This window comes from Homo sapiens, chromosome 6, assembly GCF_000001405.40.
Source record: "Homo sapiens chromosome 6, GRCh38.p14 Primary Assembly".
In the NCBI taxonomy this organism is placed as follows: domain Eukaryota; kingdom Metazoa; phylum Chordata; class Mammalia; order Primates; family Hominidae; genus Homo; species Homo sapiens.
This window is the reverse complement of record NC_000006.12, coordinates 123,273,052-123,292,840: the sequence shown is the minus strand read 5'-3', so window position 1 is coordinate 123,292,840 and position 19,789 is coordinate 123,273,052. Positions and strand designations below refer to the sequence as shown.

The 19,789-nt window shown below is 35.1% G+C and overlaps 1 protein-coding gene across 1 annotated transcript in view, besides 1 other annotated feature; it reads left to right on the top strand.

Moving 5' to 3' along the window:
* Positions 1–19,789, top strand: part of TRDN (triadin) — a 420,612-nt gene that overhangs the window by 344,110 nt on the left and 56,713 nt on the right. The window contains exons 25-28 of the mRNA NM_006073.4: positions 13,759–13,785; positions 14,494–14,523; positions 18,171–18,200; positions 19,478–19,504. Coding sequence (NP_006064.2) covers positions 13,759–13,785; positions 14,494–14,523; positions 18,171–18,200; positions 19,478–19,504 — 114 coding nt within the window. The remainder of the gene's footprint in view (positions 1–13,758; positions 13,786–14,493; positions 14,524–18,170; positions 18,201–19,477; positions 19,505–19,789) is intronic.
* Positions 15,677–16,212: an enhancer, noted in NCBI's record as "NANOG hESC enhancer chr6:123597774-123598309 (GRCh37/hg19 assembly coordinates)". NCBI's record gives its function as "activates a minimal SCP1, AML or CMV promoter by ChIP-STARR-seq in primed H9 embryonic stem cells {active_cell/tissue: H9 hESC(primed)}" and the evidence as "EXISTENCE:reporter gene assay evidence [ECO:0000049][PMID:30033119]".

Sequence of the window (19,789 nt, the reverse complement as noted above, 5' to 3'; positions counted from 1 at the left end):
ATGTTACTACTTCTGGCTGAGATGTTGATTCTTTAAATAGCAGAGGTCCCCCAAAGGTTCACAGATGTAGGTGTTGGTGTCCCCCTTTTGTAGCTGTGACTCGTAAGACATAGGTTAACCCTGGACAGATGTACTCAGCTAGGTATTCCCTGAAGTTTAACAGCAGAGGGGGTACTCAATGACACCTGATAAGGGCCCTTCCATTTTGGTTGTAGTTGATCTTCAGGGGATTCTTCTTTCCAAGTTTTAGCAAAAGTAAGTCTCCTGGCTAAACAGGGGAGCTATTTTTCCTCTCTGAAGAAGAGTAATATTTTATTTTTATAGTGGAAAGCCTTTTGAACCTGACCTAAATTCCAAAAGGGAAAAGGGAAGTTTGTATAGCTAATTACTATAAGCTAAGACCACAGCAGCTAAACTTGTCCACAGACAAGTAATTTTTATAAATACATTTCCTGGCTCCTAGTCTCTGGCTCCCACACTGCTAAAAAGGGGTTCAAGGGCCAATAAGTGTCCACCCACTTCCGCTCTGATCCAGGCCAGAACATCCAACTGGCTACAAGTCCCCTGGCTCCAAATGCCCCAGCCATGGGGGTCCCACTGAGGGACATTATGGACCCAGGGCAGGCAGCACATGACCTTGTCATCAGCATAGGACAAAATAAAACATGGCCATTGATGCTGCCTCTAGCACACCATGACAAAAAGAGGTAATACAAAACAAAAATCAAGATCCATGGGCCGAAGGGAATGGAGTTGAGCAGGTACCCACTAGCCCCAAAATTCCTTCTAAGCAACTTAAGAATCAAAAACCAAAAGCCAAAATGAGATTACCCATTGAGGAAAACCAACAGCATAGAATTAAGCTGTATTTGGAGGAAACACTGCTCCCACAGATCTCTAGGACAAAACACTTTACCATCAGACCACAACAGCAGTCATAAACAGAGGAGAAAAATTAACAGGAGCTGACAAAAAAGCTGAAGGAGAGAGTTACATGGATCTGCATAGCTTTCAAAAGAAATATATTGCAGAATTGAAAATAAAATTTTCTGGTAATTTAGCAAATTAATACCTTTAGAAAATTTGATTTTGATATTTAGGCCATTTGTAAAAAGTTTTTTTACAAATAATTTTCTTTAATCATAGCAAGTTTTTAATTTTACACAAAGTTCCCTTTATAAATTCCCCATTTATGAATCTTATCACAAATTACACAGACTATCTAAAACTTGCTTGAAATTTCTGACTTGTCCTATACTACCTCTTTCTTTTTTGTGTGACGGAGTCTCACTCTGTCGCCCAGGTTGGAGTGCAGTGGTGTGATCTCGGCTCACTGCAAGCTCTGCCTCCCGGGTTCATGCCATTCTCCTGCCTCAGCCTCCTGATTAGCTGGGACTACAGGTGCCCGCCACCACTCCAGGCTAATTTTTTGTATTTTTTAGTAGAGACAGGGTTTCACCGTGTTAGCCAGGATGGTCCCAATCACCTGACCTCCTGATCCACCTGCCTCGGCCTTCCAAAGTGCTGGGCTTACAGGCGTGATCCACCGCACCCAGCCTATACTACCTCTTTCTTAAATAACCAGTCATGTTACTCTAGGACAAAATATGACTATACAAGATCCCTCTTCATATAAAATTACTCTTTTATTATATGCTTTCTTGGAAAAGAAAATACATTTTTTTTGACAGAGTCTCACTCCACCACCCAGACAAGAGTGCAGTTGTGCAGTCTCGGCTCACTGAAACCTCTGCCTCTTGGGTTCAAATGATTATGCTGCCTCAGTCCCCCAAGTAGCTGGAATTACAGATATGTGCCACCATGTCTGGCTAATTTTTGTATTTTTAATAGAAACAGAGTTTCACCATGTTGGCCAGGCTGGTCTCCAACTCCTGACCTTAAGTGATCTGCCTGCCTCAGCCTACCAAAGTGCTGAGATTACAGTTGTGATCCACTGCACCCAGCCAGAAAGTACTTTTTCTTTCCATAACATTCTTTACATCTCTCTTTTTCACTCACTGGTTCCCTCATATTTTGAAACTCCCTTTTAATAACTTCCAAATTAGACAAAAATTATTTTTTCCAAATAAAGGATATATTTCTTTGGCACATTTTATATAAACCTAGAAAGGAAGAAATCCTGAACTGCCCAGCAGACATTGACATTCTATAGGTGAGGATTATTCTATCATTTTAAGACTTTAAACCACACAATAAGTTCATTATTTAAGCATCGATTCCGTTCTTTCACTTTTAACAGTTTTATCTAGACCACTTCTAAGAAACAAGATACCATGCAAAACATGTCACCATTTAAAGCCATTTTAACCATTTTAAAGCCAATGAACATCAGTGATTTACTTAGATAAAAATTCTGTTAAATTTTAGAAGACATAATATTCTCTTCAAACTAGTAAGCTTTGACTAGTCTTATTTAATTTATGAGTGCTCTTTTATTTATAAGCCAATTTCAAAGCATGCTAGACACAACACATATCACAATGCCTGTAGATAGAGCTAAAGAAACACACTAGATAAAATGACCTATACAAGACAACTGGATTCAAGTTATTTACAAAATTGGGACCCAGCTGCCTGACTAAATTTTGTTTGCCTCAATAGGTGTGGAAAATAGAAAGAGACAGGGAAGGGGATTCCATAGCATCAAATAAAGAAGGGAAGGAGTGAACTGCATTACTCAAGGGACTATCCCGGAGTCCCTAAGGCACCAGAGAGCTCACCCAGTAGTGGAGACACTAAAGAAAAATGTTCAGGCAGCTGTTTATCTGCCACTGTGGGAAACTTTCCACTGGGTCTTGGGTCCAAGACTCCCAGTAAACTTACCTGAGCAAGACAGCTTGCATCTTACTGGGGACAGTGAAAGAGTTAGCTCTGGAGTTGGTGGAGAACTTTTTTTCTGTCTCTCACCAGGGATAGTCAAAACATTCTTATTGTCAATGGCCCTCTTGCTCATAGCAGGCACACTGATTCTGGCTCTGGGGCCCCCAAGTTGATAGCTCTTGTCTGGGCATCCTAGACACTGGCTTCACTACATTGACTCAAGATGGGTAACTCTGAGGGAAAAGAGACTACCCCATAGGCAGAGAGTAGCAGCTCAGGGCAGTTTTGCAGTCATATTTATACCCACTTTCAATTGCATGAAGATTAAGGTGAAGATTATGCAGACATTTCTATGAAAGGGGTTGTAATCACTAGGACATTGCCATGGAAAGGGGCAGTAACTCCTGAGTGTTGTCATGGCAATGGTAAATTGACATGGCACGCTAGTGGAAGTGTCTGATTGAAAGCTGCTTTCACTGAGGCCCTGTTTTAGCTAGGCCTCAATCTGGTCCAGTGTCTGAGTGCCACCTCCAGAGTTGAGTTCTGCCCCCTACCTCATTATTATTGACTGTGATCGCCATGAGAACAATAGATTACTAAAACTTATTCCTCCAGTTTAACTGAAACTTTGCACCCTTTTATCAGCATCATCGCTTTTCCCATCTCTCCCTCTATTCTCTACCCTCTGGTAACCACCTTCCTATTCTCTGTTTCTATGAGATTGACTTATTTAGATTCCACATATAATCATGCAGTATCCACTGATGTTGCAAATGACAGAATTTTCTTCTTTTTTTTAAGGCTGTATAGTATCCTATTTTGTGTGTGTACGTGTGTGTATATATTATATATAATATATATAACATATTTTATATATATACACTATACATACATACTATATATAGTGTATATATATATACACTATACATACATACTATATATATATAGTGTATATATATATACACACACACACACACACACACCCCCCACATTTTTAAATCCATATATTTGTTGATGGACACTTAGTATCTTGCCTACTGTGAATAATGCTGAAATGAACATGGGAGTTCAAATATCTCTCTGACATCCTGATTTCAATTCCTTTGGATATAACAGACGTGAAATTGCTGTAAACTAGCTGAAAATTGCTGAATATGGTAATTCTAGTTTTTTTGAGGAGCCTTCATGCTATTCTCCAAAGTGCCTGTACTAATTTATGTTTTCACCAGCAGTGTACAAGGGATTCCTTTTCTCCTCATTCTCATCAACACTTATCATTCATCTTTTTGATAATACTCATTCAGACAGGTGTGAGGTGTTATCTTATTGTAGTTTAATTTATATTTCCCACATGATTAGAAATGTCAAACATCTTTTCACATATCTGTTGGCCTTTCATATATTTTCTTTTGAGAAGTGTCTGTTCACATGCTTTGCCCATTTTAAAATAAGGTGTTTGTTTTCTGTTATTGAAATGTTTGAGTCCTCAAATCTCTTTGCTTTTAGCCCTTTATCAGAAGTATGATTTACCAATATTACCTCCCATTCCATAGGTTGTCTCTTCATTTTTATTGTTCCGTTTGCTGTGCAGAGGCTTTTTAGTTTCACTCAATCCCATTAGTTTATTTTTGATTTTGTTGCCTGTACTTTTGGAGTCCTACCTGAGAAATAACTACTCTGACCAGTGGAGTTCTTCCGGTGTTTTCTTTTAGTAGCTTTACAATTTCAGGTCTTATATTAAGTCTTCTATCAATTTTGAGTTGATTTTATGTATACACTGTGAAATAAGAGCCCAATTTCTTTCTCTGCATGTGAATATCCAGTTTTCCTGGCACTGTTTATTAAAGAGATTGTTCTTTTCCTATTGTGTGTTTTTGGAACACTTGATTTTTCCTTTTTAATTCCTTTGCTAATTCATTGAATGTGACCTTTATATTTTTATTTTAAAAATTAATCTATGCATAATAGGGTATAAATGGAAACATGCCATTGACATTTTGTTTGCTTTTAATGCAATTAAAGAAATTTGGAAAATATAGAAAATATAATAACTATAATAAAAAATAAGGCTAAAGTCCCTATCATTACAATAAACATATATGGGTGTGTGTGTCTACTCTTATATTGCTACTCACTATTTGAAACATATTCCATCATACACAGCCAATTATTACCTCCATTAGAACATCAAGTCTATTATTTGATTTTGTTTGTTAAAATATTTTTTCTTATATAAATTTGATTTCATATCATATATTTTATAGACCTCAATCACAAATGTCTAATTTGAATATTACTGTCATTGGGATTGAAAAGTTGACATACCATGATCAACACAAGCATGCTCTGTTTTTAGCTTTATCTATTGATGTCTCAGTAGACTGAAAACTTTCTCTCTGACTCTAATTAAGCCTTATTTGCTGAAACATAATATATACAATTACGTGGGACTCAGAATTGTGACAAACAGCCATTCCTTTGTGTTACATGAATGCTCTTAAAAAAAGCAACTACGGTTATCAAACAGTGGTTCTCAAATTTCAACATGCATCAGGTACACCTGGAAGATTAAATTTACATTTCTAATAAGTTCTTATGTGATATTGTTGTTTGAGAACCACTGCCTTACAGAATTCTCCCCCAGTAATCTACTCTTGGGCTTACTATTGCTGCCTAAATATAGACCTTAGGGAGTACGTAGGCTTAGACCATGGATAGACAGACATATACAGACACTGTATTCATTAATATATTTGGATATGTGCTTAACTGTGAAATGTCTTCAGATTTGAAATGGGTCCAGTATCTTAACTGAATATACGAATTCATGAAACTGGAAATGTAAAAGAATTAAAAGATGTTTATATTTTATTGGTGAGATTTCATCATTAAGACCTCTTTGCACTCTTTCTGTGCTTCTTATCTGTTGATTAACAAATTCTAATAAATTATCCTTTTATGCACTATATGTGGTGAATGATGATTTTATCCCTTCAGAGCAATAATTTGTACATCTAAGTGGCCATCAGGATCATTTGAGAAGGATGTTAAGTGACAAATTCCTGGGCCCCACCTCCAGAGTTTCTGATTTGATAGGTCTGGAATGGAGTCCAAGTAGCTACATTTCTAGCAACTCCCCAGGTGCTGCTGCTGCTGCTGCTGCTCTGGAAAGTACACTTTGAGGACCATTGCACTAGAACCTAGACTGACAAGGACTTCTCAGTGGGAAAACACAGACACACAACACTCCCCCACATGCTGAAGAGTTTGTGAAACCTGATGTGTGTGTGTGTTTTTTTAATTCCTCGTATTTTATTTTATTTTTTCATAGGTTTTGGGGGAACGGGTGGTATTTGGTTACATGAGTAAGTTCTTCAGTTGTGATTTGTGAGATTTTGGTGCACTTATCACCCGAGCAGTATACACTGAACCCAATTTGTAGTCTTTTATCCCTCACCCCACTCCCTCCCTTTCAAACTGGTCCCCAAAATGCATTGTTTCATTCTTATGCCATTGCATCCTCATAGCTTATCTCTCACTCATGAGTGAGAACATACAATGTTTGGCTTTCCAATCCAGAGTTACTTCATTTAGAATAATAGTCTCCAGTTCCATCCAGGTTGCTGTGAATGTCATTAATTCGTTCCTTTTTATGTCTGAGTAGTATTCCACCATGCCCGACCTATACTACAATTTCTTCATCAACTCATTGGTTGATGAGCATTTGGGGTGATTCCATGTTTTTGCAATTGTGAATTCTGCTGCTATAACCATGTCTGTGCAAGTATCCTTGTAGTATAATAATTTCTTTTCCTCTGGATAGATACCCAGTGGTGGAATTGAAGGATCAAATGATAGTTCTACTTTTAGTTCTTTAAGAAATCTCCAAACTGTTTTCCAAAGTGGTTATAAAGCTTACATTCCCACCAGCAGTGTAGAAGTGTTCTCTTTTCACTGCATCCATGACAACATCTATTATTTTTTAATTTTTTGATTATGGCCATTCTTGCAGGAGTAAGGTGGTATCATATTGTGGTTTTGATTTGTGTTTCCCTGATTATTAGTGATGTTGAACATTTTTTCACATTTTCGCTGGCCATTTATGTATCTTCTTTTGAGAATTATTTGTTCATGTCCTTAGCCCACTTTTTGATGGGATTTTTTAATTTGTTTGAGTTCCTTGTAGATTCTGGATATTATTTCTTTGTCAGATGTATAGATTGTGAAGATTTTCTCCCACTCTGTAGGTTGTCTGTTTACTCTGCTGACTGTTCCTTTTGCTGTGCAGAAGTTCTTTAGTTTAATTAAGTCCCACCGATTTATCATAGTTTTTGTTCCATTTGCTTTTGGATTCTTGTTCATGAAGTCTTTTCCTAAGCCAATGTCTAGAAGGGTTTTTCTGATTTTATCTTCTAGAATTGTTATAGTTTCAGGTCTTAGTTTTAAGCCCTTGATGCATCTTGAGTTGATTTCTGTATAAGGTAAGAAATGAGGATCCAGTTTCATTCTCCTACATGTGGCTTGCCAATTGTCCCAGCACCATTTGTTGAATAGGGTGTCCTTTCCCCACTTTACGTTTTACTTTGCTTTGTCAAAAGCAATCTGTAAGTATTTGGCTTTATTTTGGGGTTCTCTATTCTTTCCCATTGGTCTTTGTGCCTATTTTTATACCAGTACCACACTGTTTTGGTGACTGTGGCCTTATAATATAGTTTGAAATCATGTAATGTGATGCCTCCAGATTTGTTCTTTTTGCTTAGTCTTGCTTTGGCTCTGTGGCTCTTTTCTGGTTCCATATGAATTCTAGGATTTTTTTTTCTAGTTCTGTGAAGAATAATGATGGTATTTTGATGGGAATTGAACTGAATTTGTAGATTGCTTTGGGCAATGTGGTCATTTTCACATATTGATTCTACCCTGGTCATTTTCACAATACTGATTCTATCCATCCATGAGCATGTGATATGTTTCCATTTGTTTGTATTGTCTGTGATTGCTTTCAGCACTGTTTTGTAGTTTTCCTTGTAGAGGTGTTTCACTTCCTTGGTTAGGTATATTTCTAAGTATTTTAATTTTTTTGCAGCTATTGTAAAAGAGGTCAAGTTCTTGATTCGAGTCTCAGCTTGGTCACTGCTGGTATATAGCAGAGCTACTGATGTGTGTACATTAATTTTGTATCCTCAAACTTTGCTGAATTCATTTATCAGTTCTAGGGGCTTTTGGGAGAAGTCTAGGGTTTTCTGGGCGTATAATTATATCCTCAGCAAACAGCGACAGTTTGACTTCCTCTTTACTGATTTGAATGCCCTTTATTTCTCTCTCTTGTTTGATTGATCTGGCTAGAATTTCCAGTACTATGTTGAACAGAAGTGGTGGGAGTGGGCATCCTTGTCCTGTTCTAGTTTTCAGAGGGAATGCTTTCAACTTTTTCCCATTCAGTGTTACGCTGGCTGTGGGTTTGTGGTAGATGGCTTTTATTACATTTAGGGGTTTCCCCTGTATGCCAATTTTGCTGAGGGTTTTAATCATAAAGTGATGCTGGATTTTATCAAATGCTTTTTCTGTGTCTATTCAGATGATCATGTGATTTTTGTTTTTAATTCTCTTTATGTGGTATATCATATTTATTGACTTGTATATGTTAAACCATCCCTGCATCCCTAGTATGAAACACACGTGATCATGATGGATTGTCTTTTTGATATGCTGCTGGATTTGGTTAGCTAGTATTTTGGTAAGGAGTTTTTGCATCTATGTTAATCAAGAATATTGATCTGTAGTTTTCTTTTTTGTTATGTCCCTTTCTTGTTTGTATTAGGGTAATGCTGGCTTCATACAATGATTTAGGGTGGATTCCTTCTTTCTCTGTCTTGTCGAATAATGTCAACAGAATTGGTACCAATTTTTGGGGGGGGGGCAAGAGTTAGTGCATTTTATTTATTTTTTATTATACTTTAAGTTTTAGGGTACATGTGCACAATGTGCAGGTTTGTTACATATATATATATATATATGTGCCATGTTGGTGTGCTGCACCTATTAACTCATCATTTAGAGACTGAAATGGTAATAAAAAATTACCAATGAAAAAAAATTCCAGGACCAGAAATATTCACAGCAGAATTCTATCAGACATTTAAAGAATTGGGTATATCCACCCAATTCCTGGAATTTTTTTTCATTGGTAATTTTTTATTATCATTTCAGTCTCGCTGCTTGTTATTGATCTGTTGGGGGTTTCTAATTCTTCCTGATTTAAGCTAGGAGGGTTACATATTTCCAGGAATTTATCCATCTCATCTAGGTTTTCTAGCTTGTGTGTGTAAAGGTGTTCATAGTAGCCTTGAATAATCTTCCATATTTTTGTGGTGTCAGTTGTAATATCTCCCATTTTTGTATCTAATTGAGCTTATTTGGATCTTCTCTCTTGTTTCCTTGGTTAATCTTATTTATCTTTTCAAAGAACCATCTTTTTGTTTCATTTATCTTTTATATATTTTTTGTTTGTTTCAATTTCATTTATTTCTGTTCTGATCTTAGTTATTTCTTTTCTTCTGCTGGGTTTGGGTTTGGTTTGTTCTTGTTTGTCTAGTTCCTTGAGGTGTGACCTTAGATTGTCTATTTGTGCTCTTTTAGACTTTTTGATGTAGGCATTTAAGGCTATGAATTTTCCTCTTAGCACCACCTTTGCTGTGTCACAGACTTTTTGATAGCTTGTTTCACTATTATCATTGAGTTCAAAGAATTTTTAAATGTCCATCTTGATTTCATTGTTGACCCAATGATCGTTCAGAAGCATGTTATTTAATTTCCATGTATTTTTATAGTTTTGAAGGTTCCTTTTAGAATTGAATTCTAATTTTATTCCACTGTGGTCTGAAAGAGTACTTGTTATCATTTCAATTTTCTGAAATTTTTAAGGACTTGTTTTGTGGCCCATTAAAAAAGCTATTCCGATGATTTCCAGGATCTTTTCAGTTTTAAAATTCTTTCCTTTTGCATTATAAAATTTATAATGTCCTACTGCTCTTATACCAAATTATTATCTTGTATTAAACTTTAATGGACTTACTTAATGAGTCTTTATAAGATCACCTAAATAAAAGTTTTTCCAGTGAAGATCTTTATATGTGTTATATGCCCCAAATAATATTACACTTACAAATTTTACAAAAGTCAAATTTTATGATAATGACTTATATTGTCTTGACAAAGTTAAAATATAATAAATCTCTGTTGAGGAACAGGACTAATTTCCTCATTTGATCTAATAGAGCAGTTTCTGTGACATAATTAAGCAAATTATGAATTTTGTGAATAAATTCATGAAAGTTCAGTTTGTTACTTGTATTTGGAAAGTTTACTTTTTTCTACTTTTACAATGAAAATTCTAAACCACATAATATATAGGCTTTAGCGCACTCTAGATTGGTTTTTGATATGTTTATCTCACATTGTAGATGTAGTTATACAGTTTAATATAAATATAACAGAAAGTTTCTTTATGAATGAATTAATATAGTAATTTGACAAATATCTGTTAAAATATGTTAAATCTATTTACAGATATGTGGATCAGAAAGATTATTAAATGATATTATTTCACTGTTGATCACTGTTGATTAATCATCTTAGGAAGAAATTTGGTATAAAACAGATTATGTACAAGCCTTTATTGACATTATTCAATAATGACTGTGGAGCTAGAATTGTTAACAGGCTAAACTATATAGACTTATAGAATGTATATATAGAACTTATATATGTAGAACTATATATAGTTCATTGTAGACCTCTGACTATTGATACATATATAAATTCTGAAGCTGAGCCTGTAGATGCATCACTCCCATCCTCCAGTCTCTGCCTCTGTTGTCACACAGTATTCTCTCTGTGTGTCTTCATATTACATTCCCTCTATGTTTGTCCATCTCTGTATCTCTTTTCCTCTTTTGATCATAACGCTAGTCATATTGGATTAGGGCCCAGGATAATGATCTCATCTTAACTTAATTATAACTGCAAAAACTCTATTTCCACACAAGGCACATTCATAAGGTACTGGGCGTCTGGACTTCCACATGTATTTTGGGAGACAGAAGTCAGCTTCTAATGGATAGATAGTATAAAGAGAAAGCTGAATAACTAGAGAGATGTTATGTGAATGCTGATGAGGTTGATATAGGACATGGCATGTAGACAACTAACTCGGAAACCAAATTTTATAATTGGACAGCTTTGTGGGAATAGGCAGGTGTCCTGTGTTTATCACAACTTGGTTTTATAAATAGCAGAACTATTAAGTCAACATTTTCTTAATCTAGTTGGGCTTTAAGAGCACAACTGAACACACATATTTTCACACAATTGTATGTGTATTTTAGGGTTTTTTGGTGTTTCCATTCATGTTTCTTAGAGGATTGTGTCAATACATGTGTTAGATTCTCAGAAAGAAATATGACTATGTATTATCCTTTCCTACCACTGGAGAGAATCTCCATAACCTTGATTTTATCCTTACATTTAGCCAGAGCACATAGCTATGTCCCTAAATCACATTTATTGGGCCAAAAGTGACTTTCCTCTTATTGAACTGTGCTTTGTATTGTATCTCTGGTGCATGTTAAGAGCAGTAGGTGGGGTTCTGTAAAAGCCATCACACATTTAGGGTAAAAATATTGCTGAGGCTGTTATTTACATTAACAAAAGGTTATTTACATTAACAAAAGGTTCTCAGCCTTTTGTTCTGAGAACCCAGGAAACAAATTTATCTCAGTTATCATTGCCAGTGATTACTCTGCTTCTCTTAAACAGAGTAAGTATTTACATCTTAAGAACACTGTAAATGGTTTAACATTTGTGCTTTTTTTTCCGCCTGAATATCAGAAAGATGAGAGGTAAATTTGCAACCCAAGTCAAAGAAACTATGCAGTAACTGTAACATGTATTTTGTGTTTAATACAATTCCTAAATTTATATATTTTTCTACATTCATTTTTGCTCAATTTCTCAATTTTTTACCTTATTTGTTTTACTTATTTATCTAATGAGCAAAAAAAGAATGAGAGCCTATCTTATCACCATGTATTAGGAATCGCACCAATTCCCTGCATTCAATGATAGATACACATGACCACTGTCCCCAAATATCTCACAATGTAGAAAAGAAGGCATTCACTTAAGTTGATACTTGCAATAGATTATGACTAACATAATGATAAAGAGATCTACCAAGTAGTATTAGCACATAAAAGGAGTAAGCAATTCCGCTGCATCAGAAAAAGGCTTCTGAGAAAGAGACAGCTAAACTAGGCCTTAAGCAGAGGTTAGCCAAAAAAAAAAAAAAAGAAAGAAAAGAAGAGGAACAAAAAGAAAATAGTGAGGGGACTAAACCCTGATGATGAAAAAAGTCAAAGAACATCTAGATAGAGAGATACTATATGTAGATAGGAAGATTCAAAATTATGAAGGTGTCAATTCTTTCCAAATTGACCTATAGAGTCAATGCAATTATGGAAAATTCCCAGAAAATTATTTTGTGTGTGTTGACAAACTGAATATAAAGTTTACGTGGAATGGAAAAAGATCCAGAATAGCAAACACGGTACCGAAGACAAAGAACAAAGTTGGAAGATTGACGCTATTGAACTTCAAAGCTTATTATAAAGTTTTAAAATTCTTTCCATTTTTTCTTTCCTTGGCCTCAAGTAGTTTATTTGTGTGTATATGCTGTTCAGTGCTCTTCTGATGACTTAATGTCACCTTCCACACATCTCCAGAACTCCCTTCCTCTTCTCTGCTGCTCTCTGCTCTACCTTACTCTGATCTGTGATAACTGACTGTCTTGGCCTTTCCAGACTACCAGCTCCATCTTATAAGCTCCGTGATTTGCTAGGCAACTCATTGCTGCACTAAGGCCTTGTAACTTTCTCCAAGCACTAAGCGGAAGCAATCACAGGGTACATCTCATTTGTTTCCCATCACTAAAGTATCACTGTTCTTTGTTGTCTGATGTTCAATATCTTTAAAACCATTGTTTTATGTATTTTGTCTGTTTTCCTTAATTTCCAGTATGAGGAGTAATTAGACCCCTGTTATGTTATCTTTGCTAAAAGAAAAAGTTACTAGGATAGTTTTGAAATTAAAAGAAGGCAGTATTAATATTTATCTCATTACAGTAGAGCATACATATTATGTTTACCTTTCCCAAAAGCCAAGTGAACAGGAACTTAAAAAGAAAGGGAAAGTGATCAATATGGTCAAATATGTTCATTAGTCTTGGAAAGTAATGGGAAATTGGTGACCAGAGAGACTAATCCATAGAATGGTGGAGCTAGAAACTAGATTACAGTGAATTAATGATGAAGTGGGAGTGAGAAGTAGAAAAAACAAGTAAAGATGATATTCCTTAAAAAGTTGAGTTGAACAGTGACAGACAGGTACTAGATGGCATTTGTAAGAAAACAGAATCAGAGAAAAGTGTTGACTATTCAAATATTTGTTGATGCAAAAAAGAGAGAAAATTAAAACTGACTATGAATAGAGCAGAGGCTGACAAAATGGCCCACAGACTGGCCACTAGTTTTTATAAAGTTTTATTGGAACACAGTCAGTCATATTTATTTACATTATTATCTATGGCTACTTCTATATTCACACAAATGAAGAATTGTGAGAGACTATATGGCCTAAAACCTGAAAATATACACTATCTGACAGTTACAGAAAAAGTTTGCCAATCTTGCACTAAAGAACTTAGCCATAAGTTACACATTCTATAGAATTTCAACAAAAAAGGATAGGTGGGGTCTACATTGTTTCATTTTTATTTTCAAATATATTATATCATATTCAATAATGTTAATTTAATAAGAATTGTATGACTCAGCCTTTAATAATTTTTTTACTTTTTTCTAGGCAAAGAAGTCAAGCCTAAACCTCCACGTATGTTATATGCATGCTCAATAAACAAACACGTACATATGTACATACATACATAAAACAAATCTTAAATGCATGCTGTTATTTATCTTGATTTCATGTTGAATATTTTGCTTAAAGTCAAAGGCTTGTTTTGTGTAGACAATGTACTCATTTTCTTACATGTATTTCTGAGAAAATGCTATACCAAAATTTTCCTTTATCTTTTATTCACTGGAAGCATCTTTCCTTACCTTGTCATTAAAAATCTCAGCTCAGATTTCCATTATTTTCTCAAAAAAAATTTTTTTGAGACAGAGTCTCACTCTGTTGCCCAGGCAGTGGGCAGTGGTGTGATCTCTGCTCACTGCAACCTCTGCCTACCAGCCTCAAGTGATTCTTGTGCCTCAGCCTCCCCAGTAGCTGGGATTACAGGCACGCACCAACACACCTGGCTGGCCTTCCAAAGTGCTAAGATTACAGGCATGAGCCACCATGCCTGGCTCTCAAAATATTTCTTACTGGAATAATAGTGAGGAATCTGTTGTTACGTACTAGTTTGCCACAATCATAAGAATATGGTTAATATGACATGAACTTTTCGAAGTTAATAGGAGATTGAAACCAATGAATAACATAGAAAATAATTATATAAAAATAAATATGCACAAGTATATAGGAAATGAATATCTTTCTATAATCATTGTTACTAATGTTCATCTATATTTTTAGAACTACAAGGAAAAAAGGAAGAGAAGCCAGGTATGTATATTTTATTTATACACATATATGATTTCCATGTTTAGAATAAATAGCACAATATCTCTTTGCAAATGTCATGTCCTAGTACAAATATTTTATCAAATTTTATCCTTGACCAACTTAAAAAAAAACTAACAAAATATATATTTCTCTATGCTACCCATTTCTAGAAAAACCTCTATTTGCATAGGTGAAATATCTGAGAAATTTACATGGTTCAGAAGAAGTAACTAAGTAATTGAATTGATTCCCACAAAACCAAGATTTTCTCTGATTATTGTAGGACACAGACATTCAATCAGCAAAACATCTGCTCTCATCCTTCTCTCTTTTGAGGCTTCTGAGTCAGATGAACATTTCTGAAGGCTACAGTAGGCAGTAGAAACTTTTTCAAAAGAACACTCAACTGTCTGGTTCTGAACACAGTTAAAATTTTGTTTAATGTTTCATAATTGTATTATTGTTGTAGGGCTACTGTAGTAAAATTCCACAAACTGGGTGGCTTAAATTCCACAAACTGGGTGGCTTAAAACAACAGAAATTTATTGTCTCACAGTTCTGGAGAGTAGATGTCCAAAATGAAGGTGTCACAAGGGACATGCTTTCCATGAAATCTGTAGAGAGAAATCCTTCCTTGCATCTTCTGGTGTTTTCCAGCAATCCTTGGTGTTCCTTGGCTTGTAGATGCATCACTTTCAAACTCTGCCTCCATCATCACATGGAAACCTTCTCCCTTTGTGTCTCTAGCTCTGTAAACCCTTCTCCTCTAATAAGTACACCAGTCATATTGGATTAAATACCCACCCTACTGCCCCATGACCACATCTTAACTAATTACATCTGCAATAACCCTATTTACAAACAAGTTCCTATTTTAAGGTACTGGAGGTTAGGATGTAAGCATACCTTTTGGAGAGATGCAATTAAATCCATAACAGTCCATTCTCTGGCTGGCCCAAAATTTATGTCCTCCATAGGTGCAAAATATGTTCACCCCATCCCAACATTTCTAAAAGTCCTAACCATTCTAGCATGGTTCTAAGTCCAAAATTTCATCTAACTATCAATCAATAGTTCAAAATCTCATTATCTAAATCATCTAAATCAGTTACATATAAAACTTGGAGTATGATTCTTCCTTCAGCAAAATTCCTCTTCTCTTTTTGAACCTGTGAAAACATGAAACAAATTATTTACTCCCAAAATAAAATGATGAGATACGTATAGGATGGACATTCCCCTTTTAAAGGGAAGAAATTGCAATAAAATAAAAAGAGGTCCTGAGTCCTAAGCAAATCCAAAACCTAGCATATTTCAAAGCCTGAGAATATTCTTTCTGGCTCAGTGCTCTGTACTCTGGGACTGGTGGAACAGTGGCCCTGTCCTCTTAGCTCAGTGTGCTGACAGCCCTGCCTTCTCCACCACAGGAGGTCCCATTAACCCAGGCGTTTGAATTCATGGCTTTTCTCTGGAGTCATTATCCCTTCATTTTATCATGTCTCTGTCCCTTTTTTGTCCAGGCTGGCATTGTTTTTGCTTCTTTAAAATTCTCGAAAACCTGACTAGTGTCACATTCAATTCATGGGGCGTCTAAGCCATTAGATAAGAGGGTCCTCCACAGATGTTTCCTGGATAACCACATCTCTATTTCTGTCTTCTGCTGAAGTGGCTCCATGAGTCATACATCTAACCTCTTTAGCAAAAGTTTGTCCAACCACAACCTTGGCTCTATCTCCATGGCACACTGTCTAGATAGGCTGAGAATTTTCAAATCAGTAAGTGCCAGTTCTTATTCGATTAACGGTATCTTCTTCAATTTATGTGTATCTTTCTTTTCACATTTTATTATAAACAACAAGGAGAAATCAGTTTGCACCTTCCATACTTTGCTTGAAAATGTTCTTAGCTAAATTTTTAAGTATTCACTTACTATTTCCATCTTCCACCTAACAGAAGAACACAATTAAGCTAAGTTTTTTGCCACTTTATAAAAAATATTACCTTTCCTTTAGTGGCCAATAACATGTTCCTCATTTTCTTGAGACCTCATCTTTAAAACTCATATTTCTAGCAACATTCTACTTCTACTTACAATAATATATATCTATATGATTTGAATGTGTTTTCTCAAAATTTATGTGTTACCTGTGTAATAAATAGTATTGACAGCTGGAGCCTTGAAGAGGTGATTAGGCCATAAGAGCTCCTCTTTTGTGAATGGGAACAAGGCCATTATAAAAGAGGCTCCGTGCAGTGTTCAGCTAGCCTGCTGTCTTCCCCTTTTGGCTTTGCCCTGTAAGGACACAGCATTCCTTCTCTCTGAAGGACACAGTAACAAGGCATTATCTCCAAACCAGAGACCAAACCTGCTAATACCTTAATCCCAAACTTCACGGTCTCTAGAAGTATAAGAAATACATTTCTGTTCTATGTAAATTACCCAGTCTGTGATATTCTATTATAGCAGCACAAAATGGACTAAGTCACAAATGTATCATTTAAAATGACAAGAGCTTTCTCTATAGCTCTCTTGAGTTCTTTCTGAGCCCTCATCAGAATAACCTTTAATGTCAATATTTCTGCCAATAATCTCTTCAAAGCAATCTAGGCTTTCTATATTAAGTGTCTCAAAATTATTCTAGACTCTACCCATTACCCAATTTCAAAACCACTTTTACATGTACAGGTATTTGTTTCAGCAGCACCTATGTTCCTAAACCAAAATTGATTAGTTTCCTTGGATGGCTACAATAAAATATCACAAATTGTGTTGCTTAAAACTGGAGAAATTTTTCTCTCTCACAATTTTGGAAGTTAAAAGTCCAAAATCAAGGTGTTGACAAAGCAACACTTCTTTTTAAAACCGTAGAGGAGAATATTTGTTTGCTTCTCCTAGCTTCTGGTGTTTTCTGGCAATCTTCGGTGTTTCTTGGTGTGAAGATATATGACTTCAATCTCTGCCTCTATTATCGCGTGGTCATCTTCTCTATTTGTGTCTCTTTTCCTCTTCTTATAAGGACAATAGTCATATTGGATTAAAAACCTACCCTTCTCTAGCATGACTTCATCTTACCTTAACTAATTACATCAGTAGCAACCCTATTTCCAAATAAGGTTACATTCTTAGGTACTGGGGGTTAGGACTCAACAGATTGTTTGGGAGAACACATTTGAGCCATAACATTATTTGTCTCAATTCCTAAATCACGTAAGTACCCAATTAGATCTATTTCAAAGAGTCTCTTCCAACTCTTGTTGTTAAAATAATTTATCTTATGTTGACTTTGGAACTATTTTCTGCAATAATCATCTTAGAAAAAAGTAGAAAATTTAGATTTAAAAGAATGAGCTATAGCAACAATTTCACAGACAAGTGCAAAGCATGTTTCTGTTTCATGTTTAATAGTCCATCATTGGCAAACCAGTGTAAAACTGGTTTTTTTTTGAAACGGAGTCTCGCTCTGTCACCTAAGCTGGAGTGCAGTGGCATGATCTCAGCTCACTGAAACCTCTGCCTCCTGGGTTCAAGCAATTCTCCTGCCTCATCCTCCCAATTATGATAACCAAATAAAATTATTTCTAAAAATTAATTTTCATTCTAGTTTATTTTTTCAGGTTTTAAATTTTCTGCCTTTTCTCTCCCTCAGAGCCCCAAATTAAAAAAGAAGCAAAACCAGGTAACATGAGCTTTATTTTATATAGATTCAGAGTTGACATTATCTTTATTTTATTAAGTACTAAAAGAGGCTTACATCTCACTAGGGAGACATGCACATAGTCTCCAAGTTCCTCATTATTTTGTCAACTCCATTGCTCAACATGATTTTATAGCACTGGATTAGGTGAGAATGGGAATATTCCCTAGACTAAAACACCTAGAAAATGGCCTTAAATAAATCTCAACAGAGACTCTAGGTTTCTGGAGACATTTCTAAGGTTTTTATGAAATTAATAATAATCATGCTTAACTTATGGCTTTATTTTCATAATTCTGGTGGCTTTGTTTTTATAATTCTGAAGTATTTCCAGTAATATACCAGAATTATAAAATCATAAAGTTATAGACTATTGTGGTTTGAAGGGAATGAGAGCAAGAATTTATTAAGCATCTATTGTGAGCTAAGGACTAGCATAGGATTTTTACTTTCATCATATCATTATGAGAAACAGACAGCATGGCCATTATTACCTATACTTAATATCTGAAGAAGCAGTTCAATAGATCAAGTTCAGAAAATAAGTTATTATTCCAGGATTTTCAAGTTAATCAATGTTGAAGCTAGGGGTCTGCCCCGTGTCTGATTTGCACCAAACCCTGGGTACCCCCATTAAGAGATTGTCCCTAAAATGCTATCATTTTATTAGAAGGTAGCATTGACCTAAAAAAAAGTATGACCTTTCCAAGTCTACATTGTTTTTTAGTGTTTAAGTCATACCTCTGGTACCAACTAGCAATTGACCTGAGGCAAGTTCAAAAAAACCCTCAGGCTCTATGGTAGCTATTTCTTCATTATAAAAGATTACTTAGCAAGATTCTTCAATATCAACAAATCAAGAATACAAATCTAGACACATATTCAGTAGTACCTCAGCCCCTGAATTCTCACCAGAACTTACCTGGCAACTGATCATAAGCTTGAATATAGTTGCTCTTGTGATATATTTACAATATATTAAGGATCATAACAGCCTTGTTACATTACAAATATTATTATGATTTATTAGTATTTTATTATTTATTTTCCTGATTATATTTATCTGCTGTAGGTGGATATGTTTTACCAGATATAAGCATTTTGTATTTTTGCCAGTTTTACTTTTCTTTAACCAGAAACCCAGTACTATTTAAAGCTAGTTATGCCTAGTTCTATTTACAATAACCAGTTGTATTTGTTATTGTTAAATACTCCATTTTGCAGGTAATTTAATCTAATATGTTATTTATTTATTTTAGCTATATCTGAAAAAGTGCAAATACACAGTATGTATTAATTTTATCTTTTATGCTTAGACTTTCTTACGAAAAAATATTGAAACGTTTTCAAAATCATGTATTTTCAACCTGTGCTTTTATATTTATGTTTTATTACAGCCTGTGTTTTGAAAACTATAGTTTCAAAAATTTTGTAAATAAGAATTCTTGGCATATTGTTTTCATGAACTAAAACCTTTAAGTTTTACATAGAAACAAGGATGATATGAAGATTTCAGAATATTTTTTCTCTATGGGCACATTTGCTAAAATCTGCTAGCTATTTTCCCAGCT